The sequence below is a fragment of the Homo sapiens genome, chromosome 5 (genome assembly GCF_000001405.40).
Source record: "Homo sapiens chromosome 5, GRCh38.p14 Primary Assembly".
NCBI lineage: Eukaryota > Metazoa > Chordata > Mammalia > Primates > Hominidae > Homo > Homo sapiens.
The window spans coordinates 72,257,185-72,280,529 of NC_000005.10; the positions used below are offsets into that span (position 1 = coordinate 72,257,185).

A 23,345-nucleotide genomic window follows, 5' to 3' on the forward strand; every position below is an offset into this window, starting at 1 on the left:
TCCTATTACAAATAGCTATGTGCCTTTGGGAAAGTCTTACGTTCCTTCTCTGTTATCGTTTCCAGCGCTGTAAAATGAGGGGGTTAAATGAGAAGATCTTGAACAGCTTGAACAGACTAAAAATCAATAATATAATCCTGCCTTTGGAGGGACCACAAGTGCTCAGATTATTTTTTCCTCTCTATACTAAAATGATTACAGATTCCTTCCTCCCTAGCTGGTAAGTTTTCTGTTTCTTCTCTCTCAGAGGGCTGCTAGTGAAAAATTGACTGCTATGGCTGCTACGTTCATCCATAATCCTCCATCAGTTGAATCTGGTGGTTCCACTGCTCCCATGAAGATTCATGTGCATGGGTTTCATGAAAATTGTTTCGGAAGACCAAAATTTCATATTCTTGGCTGTGGTGGGAAGAAAGAATAAGAATAGGATTTTTATGACACTCCAAATGTACTAGTATTTTACTGTTGTTATTATTTATTTAGGGTGGATTGCAGACGTGGTGGTAAAAAGAGCAGGGATTTTAAAAATGGCTATCTCAGTTGAGATGGGATTATGTGAGCAGCAGGATGTACTGTTTATCTACCCAAGGACTTGATCTACAAGATTAAAGAATTGGAGGCTGGGTGCGATGGCTCATGCCTGTAATCCCAGCACTTTGGGAGGCTGAGGTGGGCAGATCATGAGGTCAGGAGTTTGAGACCAGCCTGGCCAACACGGTGAAACCCCATCTCTACTAAAAATACAAAAAATTGGCCGGGTGTGGTGGCAGGCGCCTGTGATCCCAGCTACTCGGAAGGCTGAGCCATGAGAATTGCTTGAACCTGGGAGGCGGAGGTTGCAGTGAGCCACGACAGGGCCACTGCACTCCAGCCTGGACAACAGAGCGAGACTCTGTCTCAAAAAAAAAAAAAAAAAAAAGAATTGGAGAATGACTGGGAAGCTTAAAAAGTCCGAGGCACCAGAGCATCTATAAAGATTAAGAAGTTCAAAACAAAGATGATATTAAAACAAACAAATGCTCTGCCCAGGAAAGCTGCTGGGAAAACCCACACATATAGGAGAAGGGCCTACTGTTCCAACGTGCACTAACATCTAATGTGTGATATAAAGAAGTCTACCATGTTCTCTGATTTTTGTTTTTAGAGGCTTATCAAGCAAAGAGAGAAAACAAATTTTGGGTTTTCTATGATCCGGACTGAATATGAATCACCTTGTTTTCATGATTTCAATGACCAAAGACCTTAGAAGAAATATAGGCACTATGGTTTGAATGTTTTTGTTCTCTCCAAAACTCAAGTTGAAACTTAACCCCCAGGACAACACTGCTGGGAAGTGGGGGCTAATGGGAGGTATTTAGGTCATGAGGGTTGAGTCCTCATGAACGGACTAATGCCACTACAAAAAGGGCTTGTGGAAGTGGGTTTGCTTTCTCTTCCACTCTGCCATGTGAAGAAGAGTGCTCCTCCCCTCAATAGAACATGGCAATCAAGGTGCCATCTTGGAAACAGAGAACTGCCCTCACCAGATAGCAAACCTGTGTGTATGCCTTGATTTTGGACTTCCCAGCCTCCAAAACTGTGAGAAATAAATCTCTGTTATTGATAAACTACTCAGTCTCAGGCATTCTGTTATAGCAGCACAAAATAGACTATGACAGTAGATAATAAAATAGCTTAGCTATAGTTGACTACTAAATCTCAGTCTCCAGCGTAAACATCTCTCCCAGCTGCAAATCCATATGTACTATGGCCTCCTGGACATCTCCATTTGGACCTCCCATAGGCTCTCTGAATACATCATAGCCAGAATTGAGCATATTATATCTACTTTCTCTCTCCCCCTCCCCCAACCATGGTTCTTTGTTCTGTGTATTTGATCTCCATTGATTCAAGATCACTTAAGATCACCCCCCATCCAGAAAACTCCATGGTCTGAATTCTACTACCAGATCTCCTAAATATCTGTTAGCCTATGTTCCACTCGGTTTAAAAATCCGATTCCCAGCTAGGCATGGTGGCTCAGCCTGTAATCCCAGCACTTTGGGAGGCTGAGGCAGGTGGATCACCTGAGGTTGGGAGTTTGAGACCAGCCTGACCAACATGGTGAAACCCTGTCTCTACTAAAAATACAAAATTAGCCAAGCATGGTGGTGCATGCTTGTAATACCAGCTACTTGGGAGGCTGAGGTAGGAGAATTGCTTGAATCCGGGAAGCAGAGGTTGCAGTGAGCCAAGATCATGCCACTACACTCCAGCCTGGGCAACAAAAGTGAAACTTCGTCTCAAAAAAAAAAAAAAAAAAATCCAATTCCCTTAGTGGCTTCTTCACAAGCTTCCATTTGAAAATCTTTTTTAAATTGCAAGAAACTATCTTTTCTGAAACAAATATGGTAATTTTCATATAAATTAATGATTATAGAAACATACAGAGAAATAAAAATCACTTGGATTCTCACCATCCAGAGCTGGTATTCTGGTGTTTATTTGACTAATTCCCTAATGATAAACATTTGTTCAATAAGATGCTTCTATTTATTTTTATTATTATAGACAAAGCTACAGTTAATTTTCTTGACTTATATATAAATTTCTCCTTAGAATAAATTCCTTTAAAAATGTGCCAATTTAAGTTACTACCACTGTTTTTTGAGTATGTGTTTCCATGAAAATAGGTATTGTTTAATTTTAAATTTTTACGAATATGACAGGTAAAAAGTATTTCATTATGTTATTTATTTGCATAATTTCTTTAGTAGTTAGGGTGGATGGACATCGTTCATAGTGCTTATTGGCTATATGCCTTTCTTCTTACTAGAACTGCCTTTCCTGCTTTTTCTATTGCAATGTTTTTATTTCTATTATTGATGACTAAAAAATCATTGTTTAACCAGTTTAATAAACAACCAATGCTATAATTACTATTTCTCATTTTTCATATCATTTTTCTCAGATTAAGGCATTTTGCTATATTTGTCATTTTAAATTTTCATATGGATAAATATGCTTTACTAAAATGCTTTTTGACATTTATGCCATGCTTAACAAGGCCTCTATGCTTCAAGAGTACACAAATATTTCCTTATTGAATTTTCACATAGATGACTTCACTTTTTAAATTTAAATCTTTTGTCCACCTGGAATTTATTCTGATGAAGGGACATAACACTGCCCTAAGAGTCCCTTTGCATTATGTATTTCCTAGGTTATATTTTCTGTCTTCCAGGCGTTGATCTTTGTTTTTCCTACTGTTTTATTTAACCTTTCAACCTACAGACTCCTAATTTCAAGAAAATCACATTTACTTTTCAGCTGCTACGGTCTAAGTCAAACAAAGCTACACTTAAAACATGTAACATAGAAAAGTTTACTACAATGTGATCGGAAAAGGAAGAGGGTATCACTTGTTCCTTATCCTACCAATTCTGTTTTTCTTTTTGTGCTAAAAACAGTAGAGACAAGTGGCCATTGATTGACACAGAAGGTAAAATTACAACATAATAAAATATGTATCAGGTACAAAAAAAATCTAGTCTAATAATGAAATGGTCAAACAGTCAAAATGTCACAAGTAATTAGGTGGTTCAAAATATACATGGAATGCTGAGTTGTGTTTCTGGGTCAACAAAATGCCAAGTTTCATATTACTTTCTACAGTAATTAACTAAATCATTTACATTAATTAATTAATTAATTGTTTTTGAGACAGTCTTGCTCTTTAGCTGAGGCTGGAGTGTAGTGGCGTGATCTCAGCTCACTGCAACCTCCGCCTCCTGAGTTCAAGTGATTCTCATGCCTCAGTCTCCCAAGTAGCTGGGATTACAGGCGTGTGTCACCATGCCAGACTAATTTTTGTATTTTTAGTAGAGACAGGGTTTCGCCATGTTGCCCAGACTGGTCTCGAACTCCTGGCCTCAAGTGATCCGCCCACCTTGGCCTCCAAAGTGCTGGGATTACAGGTGTGAGCCACTGCAACTGGCCAATCACTACATTTAAATGGAACCTTTTACGTTCTCTTGAAAGTTGCTACATTGGTGTGATTATAATGCTGATCAGGAAACGTATGTATGTATGTATGTATGTATGTTGAGACGGAGTCTCGTTTTGTTGCCCAGGCTGGAGTGCAGTGGCACGATCTTGGCTCACTGCAACCTCTGCCTCCTGGGTTCAAGCAATTCTCTTGCCTCAGCCTCCCGAGTGGCTGGGATTACAGACGCCACCACATGCCTGGGTAATCTTTGTATTTTTAGTAGAGATGGGGTTTTACCATGTTGGCCAGGCTGATCTCGAGGAAACTGATTTTTAAAAAACCCCAGTTGCTATAGACTCACAGGAAAAAAAAAAACAAAAACTGTTACTGTACTTGGATGCTATCCTGCACTTTTGTACTAGATTATGAGAGTAGAATAAAATAGGAGTAGAAAACTGAAATAAATATTCATACTTTCAGAAGCAATGGCTGATACTTATCAGAGTATTTATGAGTATTATGAGATAATTGCTGATGTAATGATTAAAGTCTGTACCATGTAATGTTATGTCCGTACTATAAAAGAGAACAAGGGAAGTCATCATTATCCATAACTTCTTTCCTGTCAATTGCCCATTACCCCACATTCCAGCATGGCTGTAAGGCAAATACAACATAGAGATTTCATCTGTAGGTCAATTCCAGTCTCTTGGTAGTGGTTGCCACATTGCTATATTGAGCAGGATTCTGAGGCAGAGTCACGACTGCTGAAATGAGTCCCAGGACCAAAGGGTGATGCCTGCCAAGAGCAGGTATCAACTGTGGCAGGATAAATGCAAATTACATGCCATATCTATAAAAACACCAATCTGTTCTGCCCCTAAACCCTTTCTAGTCAGCAAGTTCAAACACATATACCTATGCACGTGACATTCCCTAACCTCTATTAGGGAAAAACAGTATGGCATACTAGTGAAAAATTTGGCCTTTAACTCTCTGGCGAGCTATTTGCTAGCTAGCTGTGTGTATTTTGAGGCAAGCTACTTAATATTTTCTGATTCTTGGTTCTTATCTATAAAATGAGAATAAGAGTATTCACTGAAAGGGCTGTGTGGGGACTCAATCAGTAACATATGATCATGTGGTTAGCAGTCAACGAAAGGTGCTGCTGCTGCTGCTGCTATTATTTCTATGCTGAGGTTTTTTGTGAGGCCCGTTGTCTTACAGCATCCCCTTCCCCAGAAAAAAACCCATAAAAACCCAAACAAACCCAGAAAAAGCAACCCAAAGCTCAGCAAACAGAATTCAGCAAACAATAAATACTCAGTATATACTGAATACTGCTGAATGCTAGAGATACAAAGGTAAATATGGCAGGACCACTTTTAGACTGCTGTTGGACACCCCATTAAAGGATAAGCAAGGGCTATATGAAAACATCTACACTATAATCAATAGTAATAAACCAACTCTCCAGAATGAAGAGGGGTGATGAAAGCAAGTGGACAGAAAAAAAGGGGGAGAGAGTTCCATCTTGTAGACTGACAGGAGAATGTATACTGTGAAACTTCTTCCTGGAACAAAGTGAGGTCTTTTTTTTATTATTATTAAATATATTTTTAATTTATTTTATTTTAGAGATAGGGTCTTGCTCTGTCCCTGAGGCTAGATTGCAGTGGCAGGATCATAGCTCACTGCACCCTTGAACTCCTGGGCTCAAACGATCTTCCCGCCTTGGCCTCCCAAAGTCCTGTGATTACAGGCATGTATCCCATGCCCAGCCCCAAGTGAGAGATTTTTATGCTTGCCTTTGATATCCTGTAAGTACTGAATGGATCCTCTATTTAGTACAATTATTTGCACAACTGGGTTAACCATACATCCAGAAAAAAAGCAAAAATGAAAGTTTTCTCGTTTGGTCACAAGGCACCAGTTTTCATGGTTATGGAAGGCAAACTCTGGTTTGCAATGTCTAGTAAAACGAAGCATTTCCCCTTGATTATTTCTTAGGGATTTCCTTCATCAGTAACACAGTGAATTAAAGAACATTAGACCATAAGACCTTTGAGGCTAGGCACTTTCAGAATTTGTGAATATTATCCACTATTGTGCATAGTAGTAACATGAACTCAAATGAATCAATGACCATAAAACTTAAAGCCATAAAAGCCTCAGAAGAAAACATGGGGTAAATTTTCATGACACTGAATTTAGCAATGGATTTTTAGATATGACACCAAAAGCATTAACAACAAAAGAAAAAATAGAGAAACTGGAATTCATCAAAATTAAAAACTTTTTGCATTAAATATTATCAAAAAAAGCAAAAAGACAACTTACAGAGTGAAATATTTGCAATTTCTTTGATAAAAATCTAGTATGCAGAATATATAAGGAACTCTTAACAACAAAAAGACAACCCAATTAATAAATGGCAAAGTACTTTAAGAGATATTTCTCCAAAGAAGATAAACAACTGGCCAAAATAGGCACCTGAAAAGGTACTCAACATCATTAGTCATTAGGAAAATGCAAATGAAAACCACAGTGAGATATTACTCCATACCAATTAGGAGAGCTATGACTAGAAAAATGGAAAAGTATTGGTTGAGAATGTGGAAAGACTTGTACACTGCTGGAGCAAAAGTAAAATGGTGCAGCTGGCCACTATGGAAAATAGTTTGGCAGTTCCTAAAACAGCTAAAGACAGAATTACTGTAGGACCCAAAAATTCTATTCCTAGGTAGATACCCAAAAGAACTAAAAATAGGTTCTCAAGTACATGTACATGCATGTTCGTAGCAGCACTATACACAATAGCCCAAAGATAGAAACAACCCAAGCATCCATCAACAGATGAGTGAATAAATAAAATGTAGTATATACATACAAAGGAATATTATTCCACTGTAAAAAGAAATAAAGTACTGATACATGTTAAAATGTGAATGAACCTTGAAAACATGCTAAGTGAAAGAAGCCAGACACAAAGGTCTATATTGTATGATTCCATTTACATAAAATATCCAGAATAGGGAAATTCATAGAAACAAAAAGTAGACTAGGTTGCCAGCAGCCGGAGAAGCAGGTAATGAAGAATAACTGCTTAATGAATATGAGCTTTCCTTTTGGGGTAATAAAAATACTTTAGAAACAGAGATAGTTATTGCATAACATTGTGAATATACTTAATGACACTGAGTTGTTCATTTTATGGTTAATTTACTGAATTAAAGTGGTTAAATTTATCTGAATTTCATTTTTAAAAAAAAAGAGAGAGAGACTTACAAATTGAATTGTGTCTCCCAAAAATATAGGTTGAAGTTCTAACCTCCAGAACCTGTGAATGTGATCTTATTTGGAAATACGGTCTTTTGCAGATGTAATCAAGTTAAGATGAGGTCTTTGGAGGGGGTGTAGGGGGCTTAATCCAATACAATTGACATCCTTAGAGGAAGAGAAGAGGCACACACATGTGCACACAGAGGGAGAGTGCCATGTGATGGCAAAGGCACAGACTGGAGTGGGTGCATCTATAAGCCAAGAAACGCCAAGGATTGCTAGCAACACCAGAAACTAAGAGGAAGACATGGAACAGACTCTCCTGTACAGCCTTCAGGGAAAGGATGGCTCTACTGACATCTCTGATTCCAGACTTCTAGCCAGAACTATGAAAGAATAAATTCTGCTGTTTTAAGCCACCCAGTTTATGGTACTTTGTTACAGCAGCCCTAGGAAACTAAAAAATAATGGAAAAAACAACGGAGGAAGTACGCTTAGAGAAGGAAGTATGAGCGGTATGTGGAGCAACTAGACCGTGAGGGGAGCTCAGATATGAACTTCAGAGTACTTCTATGGGAAGAACTTGAGAAAATTATTCTAACCTTGCGGCTTAAGGCAGCAACAAGATTTCAAGAAAGAAGAGTTGTAGCTATTTATTTGTGTAATAGGCAATTACTGAACATTTATTGTCTTTTTAAGGACCTTTGCTAATTATGAGTTTTTATTAGACAAGGTTTCCTTAAAATGCTGATAAGCTCGCCATTTGATAATGACACAAATCTAGGCCACATATGACCAATGTAACCTGAGTAATACAAACTAAGTGCTACCAGTGTGCAATGTAACCTGAGTGATACAAACTAAGGCTGTTTGCTGGCTGAAGTGATCTGAAATGGCATCACAGGGTCTGGGCACTTAAGATTTGGCAGACTTTTAGAAGTAAGGGAATGATTCCTCACAGCAAGAGCAGTGCCCAGTTTACAAAGGAAATACAATTAATTATTTGTTGGGCAACACTGAATGATCCAGAAAAGATAATTCCATAAATGTAGGATTTACATTAGAGATTAGTGATATCTGGCTGGAAAAGTAGGCTGGAATCAAATTATATAAACAGTCTGGGCTATTCTCAAAATATGTGACATCAAGAACAGGACTGAGCCTTGGGGTGGTGGGAGCGTTCTTTACTAACTTCTAAGCCAGTAAATGATACTGGATTTTTCTTTATCACCTCAATAAAGAAAGTTTGGACAGATGTCTCACAGAGCTATAAACTAAGTGGATGATGATGTTCACATCTCTGTTTTACAACTGGGAATTGCAAATCCAAGAAGCCATTAATATAACTCGTAAAACACAAGGAATGTTGACTGTCTTAATTGAAAAAGAAGCCTGGCTCTGTTACGAAAACAAGGAAAATGACTTCAGGTAGACCTATGACATTAATAAATTTAAGGCAGAACACCTTATTTTAAATGAATGATTAGTTCACTAAAATGAAAGCAAGATTTTGATTTGAAATTCGTTAATGGTTTTTTCCTCCTATGAAGGTGGTGTATTCGAAATTTGAATACAGATGCTAGAAAATAAAGCTTCACCTAAGATAGTATCTCATAGGACAGAGGAGGGGAAGATATAAGAAAGTGGAAGGAGAAACAATAGGTCTTGGTGGAGTAGACAAAAAAATGAACCAAGCATGATGGGATATTAGAAGTTAATCATGAAGAATAACAGTGAGGCATGATAATTTGAAAGAGCACACATATCCAGATATGCAGCAGTCCCTTTATTTTCACAGAATTGAAAAGACATTCTCAAAGGCCTCCTTCTCTGACTTTTAAGACCCAGACTTTCCTTAGCTGAACCATCCGTAACGTGGTGAAGTAGGTATCTTTCTCCACCTCCCCCAAGGATTGCTAGATATAGTAAATACATGACTGCCCCAACTCCTAGCCTGAGTAAAGGAGTTAAACAGCAATCTTTCTAGGACAGGAATCTAAGTGAAGGCTGCCAAAGTGGCACCATGTGCTTTTTCATGCTCTACGTATCTACTGGCTGCTGGCCCAGTTCCTAGCTACAGGTAGAGAAATAACAAGGAAAATGTTATTGAACTACAGGAGAAGCAGCAAAGAAGATGAAGCCCATGCTGGGCGTGGTGGCTCACGCCTGTAATCCCAGCACTTTGGGAGGCCGAGGTGGGCAGATCACGAGGTCAGGAGATCCAGACCATCCTGGTTAACATGGTGAAACCCCGTCTCTACTAAAAATACAAAAAAATTAGCTGGGTGTGGTGGCACGTGCCTGTAGTCACAGCTACTCGGGAGGCTGAGGCAGAAGAATGGCCTGAACCCGGGAGGCGGAGCTTGCAGTGAGCAGAGATCGCCCCACTGCACTCCAGCCTGGGTGACAGAGCGAGATTTCGTCTCAAAAAAAAAAAGAAGATGAAGCCCGAAATGTGGTTACCACTAGGTTCATGAATCTTTTCTCACAGTAGAAAATATGCTGAATTTTATGGCTGCAGAGTCCCTAAATCTTCCCAAAGTGAGGCTCAGGGCTTCAGAGATGGCTATCTACAGAGCAGTGTCCCTTTGTATCTAAAGTGCTTCAACTTTTCCAGAGCACTTCTACATGTATGAGGTGAGTGATTCCTACACAACTTTATATGTTTATTTTAAAGATAAGAAAACTGAGGTCAGCAATGCTAAAGAATCTGACAAGAATCAGACTATATTCATTTTGGCATAACTATACGGAGTCTTCCAATTCCAATCTAGTGCTTACTGCTAACCACATGACTTCTCTGGACTGATATTCTAAGTTCAACCATGTAATTAATTTGAAACCGCCTAAAAATTTATCCTTATTTGCTCATTAAATAAGTTCATATAACATATGAACAGAGAAAGACAATGTATACACAGTCAGGATTTTAAATGGTATTAATTTGCTTATAGACTTCAGTCCATTGTTCATTCAACAAATATGATACTCTAAGTTCATCTATGTAATTAATTTGAAACCACCTAAAAATTTATCCTTATTTGCTCATTAAATAAGTTCAAACAATGTATGAACAGAGAAAGACAATGTATACACAGTCAGGATTTTAAATGGCATTAATTTGCTCATAGACTTCATTCCATCATTCATTCAACAAATATTTATTGAGGCTCAGCTATGTTCCAAGCACAGCTAAGTTCTGGGAATATAAAATCAAATAAGATATAACCATTACCCTCAAAAAGTACACCTTAGTTGGTGGTTCTCCAGAAATACATTTTGTCCAAAGTAAAAAATGCCTGCAGTCAAAATCAAATTTATGACTGCCAAAGATTCAGATATCAAAACAAATTAAAAAGAATCTGTGCTGCCTTGCAGTAATAAGATATAGAGGTCATTAAGAAAAAAAAAAAGTATGCTCTCAGATGCTGCCTTCCAAATAAATGTTCAGGGAACTTATGTGAATCACTGCAGAATACTTGGCCAAAAAGATCTGCAAGTAGAGCCCAAACAATTACTATTTGCAAAGAAAGGTAATACTTAGAAATGAAAATACAGAGAGAAGAATGATTTTTAGAGGCATTAAAAACTCCTCTCCCAGTGACTCCCAAACCCAACAAACATGTGCACCAAGATCAGCCTCAACAATTCCCCTCCTTGGTTTCAAACCTAAATTCTGTCCAGAGTTGAAAGCTAACTTTGTTTCTTAGGTGGGGAAAGAGCACCCTAAAAAGAAAAAAAAATTATAAGTCAAATCCTTAAAACATAAGAATTATAAATACAACAAACTTAATTTATCATTGCACTGTATCAGAATACAATCTTACCCTCAAAATCATTATCTTTCTTACAATCTTCTAAAAGTCCAGAGGCTTTATAGACTTCTACAAACAAGTAAAAACAAATACTCGGCAACATTTGCATTTATCCTTATTTTTCTCTTTGCTACACAAATGTTTCTGAATAGGAAGTAAAGTGTTTTGGCACCACTGGGGAAGGCGGTATGAACATGCCAGAAATATCAGTGTACTTTCAGGAGGATGAAACATACCAGTATAATTCTGTGATAATTTAAATTTAACCTGCTTGGAGGTCTGTGGAGCTGACAAACAATGTTTTTATAAAATTGAGTGATAATGGGAAATAAGTGCTCCTTCAGGCTTAGAGAAGAACCCCAAACTTCAAAAAATTATGGATCAAGGTCTTCTGTCATTCATTAACTGTTTGATTTTGGAAGTGTTTCCTCTTTGATTTACTTTCTTCTACAAAAGAGGAGCAAACATATCTGCCCTTGGAATCTTGCAGGTCTTATATGAGGATGATAAAAATGAGATGACAATGCACTCTTACATAGATACAAGTGATTATTATTTGACCTTTATTTTGATGTGATCCACAGTATCACTCTAATTGATAGGGGGTCAATTGAACTTTAGAGAGGTTTATTTATTCTCACTTCAATTTGACTAAGTATCTCTGAAGGCAGGGGGTTAGTGTAAACAGCTACTTGTACATCCACTTAAGGAAGCCCATTACTGAATGATGTAAACTAGTCAGTTCTGGGGCTAGCAGCTCAGATGGGGAGAAGGAGGGAAGGGAGGGAATATGCATCTGGTTTTCCTGTATGCTTGCTCTGATTACATTATTTGCAGGGTGCAGTATAATTCAGGATTGTTGCATATGAGTTTTCCTTGTAAAGTGGTTTATTTTCAGCACTGCCAGAAGGTGTGAACAGGAACTAAAATTGGCTGTAGCCACTGTGTACTAAGGTACAAGGCTGCATCTTTCCGAAAAAGGTACTTTTCCCTGATTATCTGTCTAGAAGAGGCAGTGTTTTTCTTGCTTGCACAAAGATGCCCTAAGGCTACCTGAGGTCCTGGTCACATATCTGAGACTTTCAGCCACCATCTCGCCCCCTGCTGGAGAAAGGGAGGAGGAAATGTATATTCAAACAGGTATCTGACTAATATTTCTAAAAATTAATGAGGCTGTTAAACATAGTTTGAGAAAGGAGGATAATGGAGGCTGAGCAAAGAATTGTAAACTTTTTCCTAAATATTAAAACATACTAGCAAGCTATAATAATTAAAACAGGTATGATGCTATTGAATGAAAGGCAGATCAGTGGAAGAGCAGAGAAAATTCAGAGACAGACTCAAACACAAATAAGAAATTAGTAAAATAAAGATAGCATATTATATCATCAGGCAAAGGATGGATTATTCAATAAATGGCATTAGGATAGCTGGGTAGCCATTTGTTTTACACACGTGTGGGGGATATGTGTATGCATGGATTTGTACCTCACACAAATCAAATCTAACTCCAGATGAATATCTAGGTGTTAAAAACAAAAGCATACATTTACTGGAGGAAAACAGAAAAATTTCTTGGGATGGATAATGTCTTTCTTAGTCTAATATAAAAGCCATAAAAAAAAAGATTGATAAATTCAATTACATAAAAAATAAAAATGTGGCCGGGTGCGGTGGCTCACGCCTGTAATCCCAGCACTTTGGAAGGCTGAGGTGGGCAGATCACCTAAGGTCTGGAGTTTGAGACCAGCCTGGCCAACATGGTGAAATCCCATCTCTACTAATAATACAAAAATTAGCCAGGCATGGCGTCACATGCCTGTAATGCCAGCTACTCAGGAGGCTGAGGCGGGAGAATCTCTTGAACCCAGGAGGCGGAGGTTACAGTGAGCTGAGATTGCATCATTATGCTCCAGCCTGGGCGACAAAAGAGAAACTCCATCTCAATAATAATAATAATAATAATAATAATAATAATAATAATAATATTAAAATGCCTACATAGCAAAAACTATCATAAAGCAAAGTAATAAAAAAAGAAAAAATACTCATTAATTAAAGGCTATTCCTTAAATCAGTAAGACAAGACCAATAACCTAGCAGAAAGACAGGATAAGGCAAAAGAAAGTCCATGGAAGTACAAATGACTCTTAAGCACATAAGAATATGCTTGTGAATTTATGAATTAGTTGAGTTAAAAAAAGAACATGCCAACCTCAGTAATAACAATATAAAATAAAACTACATTGAGAAGTCATATCTACTTTAAAATATTAATTTATAATTTAACATCTTCTTAAGAAAACTCCAGGCCCAGATAATACCTTCGGTGAATGCTATCAAGCACCGAAGAAACTCTTAAACAAACTTTCAGAAAATAAAGAAGGGAACATTTCCCAATACATTTTGTGACATTATACAATCCTGACGCCAAAACTACACAAGGCAACATAAGCAAAGAAATTTGGAGTCCAGTCTTACTGACAACATAGTGTTACTGAAAACTTAAAAAATTTAACAAATTAATACTACATCAGGACAATACACTCTTGGGAATTCATCCCAAGAACGCAAGTCTGGATTAACATTTGAAAACTGATCAAAGTAATACATTATATTAAGAAAGTGAAAAAGAAAACTCATGTAATTGTCTATATTTGTAGAAAAAACATTTAACAAAATTCAATGCCCATGTTTGATTGAAAACTCTTAGAAAACCAGGAATGAAAGGGAACTTCCTCAACCCAATAAAGGGCATCTATGAAAAACCTACAGCTAACATCGTTAATGGTGAAATATTAAATATTTTCTCTCTAAGATTGGGAACAAAGCAAAGACATGTCTGCTCCCACTACTTCTATTCAACATTGTATTGGAAGTCCTAGCTAGTGCAACAAGGCAAGAAAAATTAAAAGGCTTGAAATTTGGAAAGGAAGAGTAAATGTATTTCTCGTCACAGATAATATGGTTGGATATGTAGGAAACACGAAGGAATCTACAAACAATTACTAGCATGAATAAGTGAGTTAATCAAGCTCTCAGAATCTGGGTCAAGATACAAAAATCAACTCTCTAGCAGCAAGCAACTGGAAAGTGGAATTTAGGAAAATAATTTCACAAATAATAACATCAATATAACATACTTTAAAATACATTTAACAAGACTTGCAAATGCCTACACTGAAATTTATAAAATATTGCCGAGAAAAAAACAAAGGCAATCTTAAAAAACAAGAGTTAAACCCCGTTCATGTCAAGAAACACTCACAAATGGCCTAGGAATTGCTCTAGATTAAAAGAGACTAATGAGATATGACAGGTAAATATAATGTGTGATCCTGGTTTGGATCTTAGACTAAGAAAAAACTATGTTCATAAAGAGGATTAATGAGACAACTGACAAAATTTGAATATGGACTGTATTATAGTATTGTAATTCTGTTAAATGTTCTGATTTTAATCATTATATAGTAGTTACATGGGCAAAATCCGTAAAGTTCAAATAATCAGTATTAATAAATAATACCCATGAAAGTTAGCTGTCTATCAGTTAATAAAGTCATCTTTCTGCTTCTGAAACTGTTAAAAAAGGAGCACGTGCCAGCCATCTGCTGATATCCAGCATCTGTTGCAGGGCTCATAAAAATTATATATAGGCTCACACTGGGACACAAAACAGCCATCCAACGAATTATTTCTCCTCAAGCTCCAAAGTGCACAATCAAATAGCTCAGGAGTTATTTTAAGCTCTAGTTTTTACATTTTTCCCCTCTAAACAAACAAACAAACAAACAAACAAAGTAAGGATGGTTGCAATGAAACACTGGGATTCCCCCCCCATCTCCTGCCACATTTTAAAGATCAAGAAGTGAGGGTATAGATCAAGGGTTGGCAAACTAAGGCCTATGGGATACTTTAGGTCTGCGGTCTGTCTCTACAGCCTGTGAGCCAAGAATCGTTTTTACATTTTTAAAGGGGAAGAGCCATATCAGGCCTGATACTGTTATCCTTAGAAAGGTCTACTTGCAAGGTTGGCCCTTCACTGGTGTCTGGAAATTTGGATTTTGAGGACTTTCCCACCATTCCTTAAAACTGGTAAGAGTAGCTCATTGTGCATAAACTGTGTGAATAATGTGGTTTATGCTGAACACTTCTTTCCTTCTGGGATTATGGAATTTTGTTATGTGCTAGGCAGAGGATGCCTACATGACCAGCTCTCAGTAAAAACCTTGGACACTGAGTCTCTAATGAGCTTCCCAGGTAGACACATTTCATGTGTGTTGTCACAATTCGATACTGGATAAATTAAGGACATCCTGTGTGATTTCACTGGCAGAGGAATTCTGCAAATTTTTGCTTGGCTTCCTCCAGACTGCCCCTAACCTTTCCCCTTTGCTGATTTCACTTGGCTGTGAGTATGGCTTAGCTGCAAGTACGAGTATAGGCTGTGTCCTGTGAGTCTGCCATGGAACCTGAAGATCGTACTGGAGACTCCTGACACAGAATGGGTGAAGAAAAAAGATAGCAACGACTACAACAGAAACTGTGTGGCCTGCAAAGCCCACATTATTTACTATTTGGCCCTTTACAGAAAGTTTGTCAACCCCTGGTATAAATGAAACAAAGATGGGCTAAGGGTTGAAGGTAGGTATTGACACTGGGTAATGAATACATGAGTATATATACTATTTTGTCTAGTGTTATATATGTTTAAAATTTTCTATAATAAAAATAAGGCAAACTCATTCTAAAACTGTGTATCTTGTGATAGTAATAAATTTATTATTTACATATTAGATTTCTAGTCAACTAGGATCTTATAAGATTATCCAGCATTTTACTCCCATTTCTCCTGAGAAATTCAAGTCTTATCTCATCCCTGGAAGCTACCCTGTTCTTACATGATCACACCTCTCAGTGGATTGATCTAGGGGTAGTTACCTGGCCCAAGTAAATATATAAGCCTATCCTTCTTGCCAAAGTGGACCATCACTCAAGCTGGGCCACTGGTCCGGGATTTTTCGAGAAAGTGAGAAAAAATTAGCCTCAAATATGTTTAAGTAATTTTGTTTTTTAACAAATGTGAAAACTGATTATTTTCTGTGTGGTAAGAGAAGATAATAAAACCCTATAAAGTACAGTCATCCATTGCTTAACAACAGGATACGTCCTCACTCTCTGAGAAATGTGTTGTTAGTGATTTTGTTGTGTGAACATCACAGAGTTTACTTACACAAACCTAAATGGTGCAGCCTACTATACATCTAGGCCATACGCTATAGCCTGTTGCTCCTAGGCTACAAACCTGTACCGCGTGGGACTACACAGAATACTGTAGGCAACTGTAACACAATGGTTAAGTATTTGTGTCTAAACGTATCTAAACATAGAAAAGGTACAATAAAAATATGGGATAAAAGATATAAAATGGTACATCTATATAGGGCACTTACCATGAATAGAGCTTGTAGCACTACAAGTAGCTCTGGGTGAGTCAGTAAGCAAGCAGTGAGTAAACGTGAAGATCTAGGACATTACGCTACTGTAGACTTTATAAACACAACGTTTAGGCTACACTAAATTTATGGAAAGAAATTTCTCGCTAATAAATTAACCTTAGCTTCCTGTAACTGTTTTACTTTAAAAACTTAATTTTTTAGAAACTTTTGACTTTTCTGTAGTAACACTTAGGTTAAAACACAAACATACTGTACAGTTGCACAAAAATTCCTTATGATCTTATTCTATAAGCATTTTTCTACTTTTAATTTTTTTTAACTTTTTAAAATTCTTAGTTAAAATTTAGTTAAAAACTAAGACACAGGCCAGGCACAGTGGCTCACGTCTATAATCCCAGCACTTTAGGAGGCTGAGATGGGCAGATCACCAGAGGTCAGGAGTTCGAGACCAGTCTGGTCAATACGGTGAAACCCCGTCTCTACTAAAAACACAAATATTAGCTGGGCATGGTGGCTCACGCCTATAATCCCAGCTATTCAGGAGGCTGAGGCAGGAGAATCGCTTGAACCCAAGAGGCAGAGGTTGCAGTGAGCAGAGATCGCTCCACTGCACTCCAGCCTGGGCGACAGAGTGAGACTCTGTCTCAAAAAACAAAAACAATAACTAAAAACTTAATACACAAACACAGACCTTAGCTTAGGCCTGCACAGGGTCAGGATCACTGTCTTCCACCTCCACATCTTGTGTCACTGAAAGTTTATCAGGGCAATAACAGACATGGAGCTGGCATCTCCTATGATAACAACGCCTTCTTCTGGATACCTCCTGAAGGACCTGCCTGAGGCTGTTGAAAGTTAACTTTCTTTTTCATAAGTAGGAGTACACTCTAAAATAATGATAAAATGTATAATATAGTAAATATATAAACCAGTAGTATAGTTCATTAACAATTTTTATTATTATGTACTGTACGTAATTGTTTGTGCTATGCTTTTATATGAGTGGCAGCAGAGTAGGACTCTTTACATGAGCATCACCACAAACACACAAGTAATGCAGTTTGCTACGATGTTATAATGGCATTATGAACGCTACAATGTCATTAAGTAATAGGAATTTTTCAGCTTCATTATAGTCTCATGGGACTACTGTTGTGTATGCAGTAGGTGGCTAACTGAAACATCGTTATGCAGCACAAGACTATTCCAAACATCCAGAAAGTAAGCAGAACATGGAAGCATCCCCCTTGAAAACCAGCACAAGACAAGGATGCCCTCTCTTACCACTCCTATTCAACACAGCATTGGAAGTTCTGCCCAGGGGAATCAGGCACGAGAAAGAAATAAAGGGTATTCAAATAGGAAGAGAGGAAATCAAATTGTCTTTGTTTGCAGACGACACGATCCTATATTTAGAAAAGCCCACTGTCTCAGCTCAAAAGCTTCTTAAGCTGATAAGCAACTTCATGAAAGTCTCAGGATACAAAAATCAATGCACAAAAATCACAAGCATTCCTATGTACCAACAACACACAAGCAGAGAGCCAAATCATGAGTGAACTCCCATTCACAACTGCTACAAAGAGAATAAAATACCTAGGAATACACTAACAAGCAAAGTGAAGGACTTCTTCAAGGAGAACTACAAACCACTGCTCAAGGAAGTAAGAGAGGACACAAACAAATGAAAAAACATTCCATGCTCATGGATAGGAGGAATCAATATCGTGAACATGGCCATACTGCCCAAAGTAATTTATAGATTCAATGCTACTCCCATCAAACTACCATTGACATTCTTTACAGCATTAGAAAAAAACTATTTTAAAATTCATATGGAACCCAAAAAGAGCCCATATAGCCAAGACAATCCTAAGTGTTAGGAATAATGCTCAAAATCCTAAACAAATTGAACACTCAAACAAAGGATTCTTAGCAAAGCAATTTTACTTCTGCGCAGAGGGGTGCCTCCTTGGCCAGCTGCCATGACAGCATACCTGAACAAAGGGGCATGAAAGCCTTTATTCCTAATGCAAGTCCTGCCCCTGTACCCTTTCCCCACTGGCCGGGGTTGGGCCGTACAATTTAAACTAATCCCGGTTGGCTAAACATTTGATTTTTTTTTTTAGATAGGGTGGGCACGTAAAGCAAGTGGAGGGAAAGGGGAAGGGGTGTCTATAGTGAACCAGAAAGTTAGTCCTCTTTCCAAATAAGGAAAGGAATGTGAGCTGGTACTGATAACGCTTGGTACTGTGGCGTGCCTGGGCATTTAACAAAGGAAAAAAGGAAAAAAGGAGAAAAAAGGAGAAAAATGTGTGTGTGTGGGGGGGGTACTATGAATTAAAGAATAAAAGATTGAACAGATTATTTGAAGAGAAACCTTATCATATCCCACATTAAGTAAAAAACAAAACAAAACAAAAAGCTGGAGGCATCACGCTACCCAACTTCAAACCATACTACAAGGCTACAATAACCCAAACAGCATAGTACTGGTACAAAAACAGACACATAGACCAATGGAACAGGCTAGAGAACTCAGAAATAAGATCACACATCTACAACCATCCGATCTTTGACAAACCTGACAAAAACAAGTAATGGGGAAAAGATTCCCTATTTAATAAATGGTGCTGGGAGAACTGGCTAACCACATGCAGAAAATTGAAACTGGACCCCTTCCTTACCCCTTACACAAAAATTAAGTCAAAATGGATTAAAGATTCAAATGTAAAATCTAAAACTATAGAAACCCTAGAAGAAAATCGAGGCAGTATCATTCAGGACATAGGCACAGGCAAAGATCTCATGATGAAAATGTCAAAAGCAATTGCAACATAAACAGAAAATGACAAATGGGATCTAATTAAACTGAAGAGCTTCTGCAGAGCCAAAGAAAATATCATCAGAGTGAACAGACAAGCTATAGAACAGGAGGAAATTTGTGCAACCTATCCATCTGACAAAGGTCTAATATCCAGAGTCTGCAAGGAACTTAAATTTACCAGAAAAAAAAAAAATGCCACTAAAAAGTGAGCAAAGCGCCAGGCGTGGTGGCTCATGCTTGTAATCTCAACACTCTGTGAGGCCGAGGCGGGTGGATCACGAGGTCAGGAGATCGAGACCATCCTGGTTAACACAGTGAAACCCCATCTCTACTAAAAATACAAAAAATTAGCCAGGCGTGGTGACGGGCACCTGTAGTCCCAGCTACTTGGGAGGCTGAGGCAGGAGAATTGCTTGAACCCAGGAGGCGGAGGTTGCAATGAGCTGAGATCACGCCACTGCATTCCAGCCTGGGCAACAGAATGAGACTCCATCTCCAAAGGGGGAAAAAAAGTGAGCAAAGGACATGAACCGACACCTCTCAAAAGAAATTTATGCAGCCAACAAACATATGAAAAAAAGGTCAACATCACTGATCATTACAGAAATGCAAATAAAAACCACAATGAGATACCATCTCATACCAGTAAAAACAGCAATTATTAAAAAGTGAAAAACAACAGATGCTGGTGAGTCTGAGGAGAGATAGGAACGTTTTTACACTGTTGATGGGAATATAAATTAGTTCAACCATTGTGGAAGACTGTGTGGCAATTCCTCAAAGACCTAGAACCAGAAATACCATTTGACCCAGCAATCCTATTACTGAGTATATACCCAAAGGAATATAAATCATTCTATTATAAAGATACACATCCTGGCCAACATGGTGAAACCCCGTCTCTACTAAAAATACAAAAATTAGCTAGGCATGGTGGCGCATGTCTGTAATCCCAGTTACTTGGGAGGCTGAGGCAGGAGAATCGCTTGAACCAGGGAGTCGGAGGTTGCAGTGAGCCGAGATCTTGCCACTGCACTCCAGCCTGGCCACAGAGTGAGACTCCGTCTCAAAAAAAAAGAAAAGAAAAAAAAAGATACATGCACGTTTATGTTCATCGCAGCACCATTCACAATAGCAAAAGACATGGATTCAACTAAATGCCCATCAATGATATATTGGATAAAGAAAATGTGGTACAATACGCCATGGAGTACTGTGCAGCCATAAAAAAGGAACGAGATCATGTCCTTTGCAGGGAAAGGGATGGAGCTGGAAGCCATTATCCTCAGCAAACTAACCCAGGAACAGAAAATCAAACACCGCATGCTCTCATAAGTGGGAGCTGAACAATGAGAACACTTGGACACAGGGAGGGGAATAACACATACTGGAGCCTGTGAGATGAGGGGGTGGAGGAGGGAGAGTATCAGAAAAAATAGCTAATGCGTGCTGGGCTTAATACTTAGGTGACAGGTTGATAGCTGCAGCAAACCACTGGGCACATGTTTATTTATGTAACAAATCTGCACATGTATCCTGAAACTTAAATTAAAAAACAAAAACAAAAATAAGCAGAACATAACACCCACATACTCAACCACCTATCTTCATCAAATTTTAAAATCTGGCCAGGCGCAGTGGCTCATGCCTGTAATCCCAGCACTTTGGGAGGCCGAGGCGGGCGGATCACGAGGTCAGGAGATTGAGACCATCCTGGCTAACATGGTGAAACCCTGTCTCTACTAAAGATACAAAAAAATTAGCTGGGCATGGTGGCGAGCGCCTCTAGTCCCAGCTACTTGGGAGGCTGAGGCAGGAGAATGGTGTGAACCCAGGAGGCGGAGATTGCAGTGAGCCGAGATCGCGCCACTGCACTCCAGCCTGGGTGACAGAGCGACTCTCCATCTCAAAAAAAAAAAAAAAAAAAAAATTTAAAGTCTGTCATACTTGAGATTTTCTTTTTAAGCCAATAAAGCATTATAGATACAGTTGATGCTCCCTCATGTATATTTCCGGATCCTACTCCAACCCCATCCTGCTTCTTCATAGGTAGATAATACCTTGAATTTGTTGTTTACCATTTTTGGGCATGTTTTTTATACCCTTCACTTTATAACATGTATCCATGTAAGTGATGATATTGCTTTGCATATTTTCAAACTACATAAATGGTATCATATTATATGTACGATATTTCACCTTTTTTTTACTCATTATGTTTTGAGATAATCACCCTGATATATATGTGTATGTGTGTATAGATATGTATGCATCTATAGATAGCTTTGGCTTATTCTTTCTCACTGTTGTATGGTATTCCATTGTAAAAAAAAGTCTATCACATTTTTCTTCTTTTTCTATTGGAGGATATTTAAGTTGCTTCCAGTTTTTCATATTATGAACAATGTTAAAATGAACAGTCTTATAACTTAATCCTTATACAAGCCAGAGTTCCTTTAAGGTATATACCCCAGAGCAGAAGGCTGAGTAGAAGATGACCATGCCCATCCTCTTTTACTTCATATTGCCAAACTACTCTTCAAGGTGACTATATAATTTTAAACTCCCACTAGTAGTGAATCAGACTTCCTGTTGCTCCTCTTTGTCACAATTATTATGGAAGTCTTATTTTTGCATCTAATAAATGTGAAAATGTATCATTTTAATCTGTAATTTATCTGATTATTGAGAGTGAGCATCTATTCATATGTTAAATATGTTAACTGCCAATATGGTTTTTTATTCTGTGAACTGCTGGTTCATATTCTCTATCCACTTTTCTAAAATTCTTATCTTATTGGCCTATGGATATAATCTAGATACTAATCTTTGTTAGCTACATGCATTGCAAATCTTCCCTGGTCTTTTAATTTTGTTACTGGTGGTAACAAAATTTTTGTAGAATAGAACTTTAAAATTTTAATGCATTAAACCTTATCAGAGCAGGTGCAGTGGCTCACGCCTATAATCCTAGCCATTTAGGAGGCGAAGATGGGAGGATTGCTTGAGGACAGGAGTTTGAGACCAGCCTGAGCAACACAGCGAGACCCTGTCTCTTAAAAAACACACAACAAGCATTAAATAACAACAACAACAAAAACCATTCTGAATCATGGAAGACAACAAAACAAAACAAAACAAAATAAAACAAAAACAAAACCCCAAAAACAATTATCACTTAGTAATAAAACAAAACAAAAAAATTTATCAATCTTTTGTTATGTTTTTTGTGTCTTGTTCAAAAAAAAACAAATCCTTCAGTGTCCCCAGTGTTATACTACTATTAATATTCTCCTATATTTCCTTCTAAAAGTTTTGCTTTTTCCATTTCGGTTTTTAATCTACCTAAAAAAAATGTGTGTGAGTATGTTCATATATTTTGAAGTAAGAATGAAGAATTTTCCCATATAATTGTTAGATTATCGATTGTCTAAGTAGCATTTATTAACTAATCCATTCTTCGCCCTTTGATGTAAAAAATATCTCAGGTTTCCAGATATGTAGATACATTTCTGGGTTCTCTCTATTCTGCTCCACTAGTCTATTTGTCTACATCTAAGCCATTATCTTCATTTGTATTTTTTGTAGCTTTCTAATAAGTCTTGTTGTCTATCTTGTGGACCAATCATTTTATGTTAGTCTTCTTAAAACTGTCTTAGCTATTCTTGGTTTTATTCTTTCACTTGAATTTCAGGGTCATCTTCTCAGGTTCCCCAAAAATTTCTGCTGAGATTTTGGTTGGAATTGCACTGAATTTATAGATGAAATGTGACACTTACTGTTTAATAGTTTAAAACAAATAAAATGGAAAGATATACTTAAAAGACTGGCAAGAAACACACTAAAAACAAGTGATTTTTCCTTTATAAGTATTTTTTTTAAAAAAAGAATATGTAATTACTTTTTCCATAAACAAGAAATGATTTTAAAAATATGAAAAAAATGTATATTTCATTCTAACCTGCAAGGCTGCACAGCAGCCCAGTTTTCTATAT

The 23,345-nt window shown here is 37.6% G+C and overlaps 1 protein-coding gene across 3 annotated transcripts in view; it reads right to left on the reverse strand.

Annotated features, from left to right (window-relative positions):
* The window catches only part of MRPS27 (mitochondrial ribosomal protein S27), a 100,838-nt gene that overhangs the window by 37,782 nt on the left and 39,711 nt on the right, over window positions 1-23,345 (reverse strand). The gene's annotated exons all lie outside the window — the stretch shown is intronic.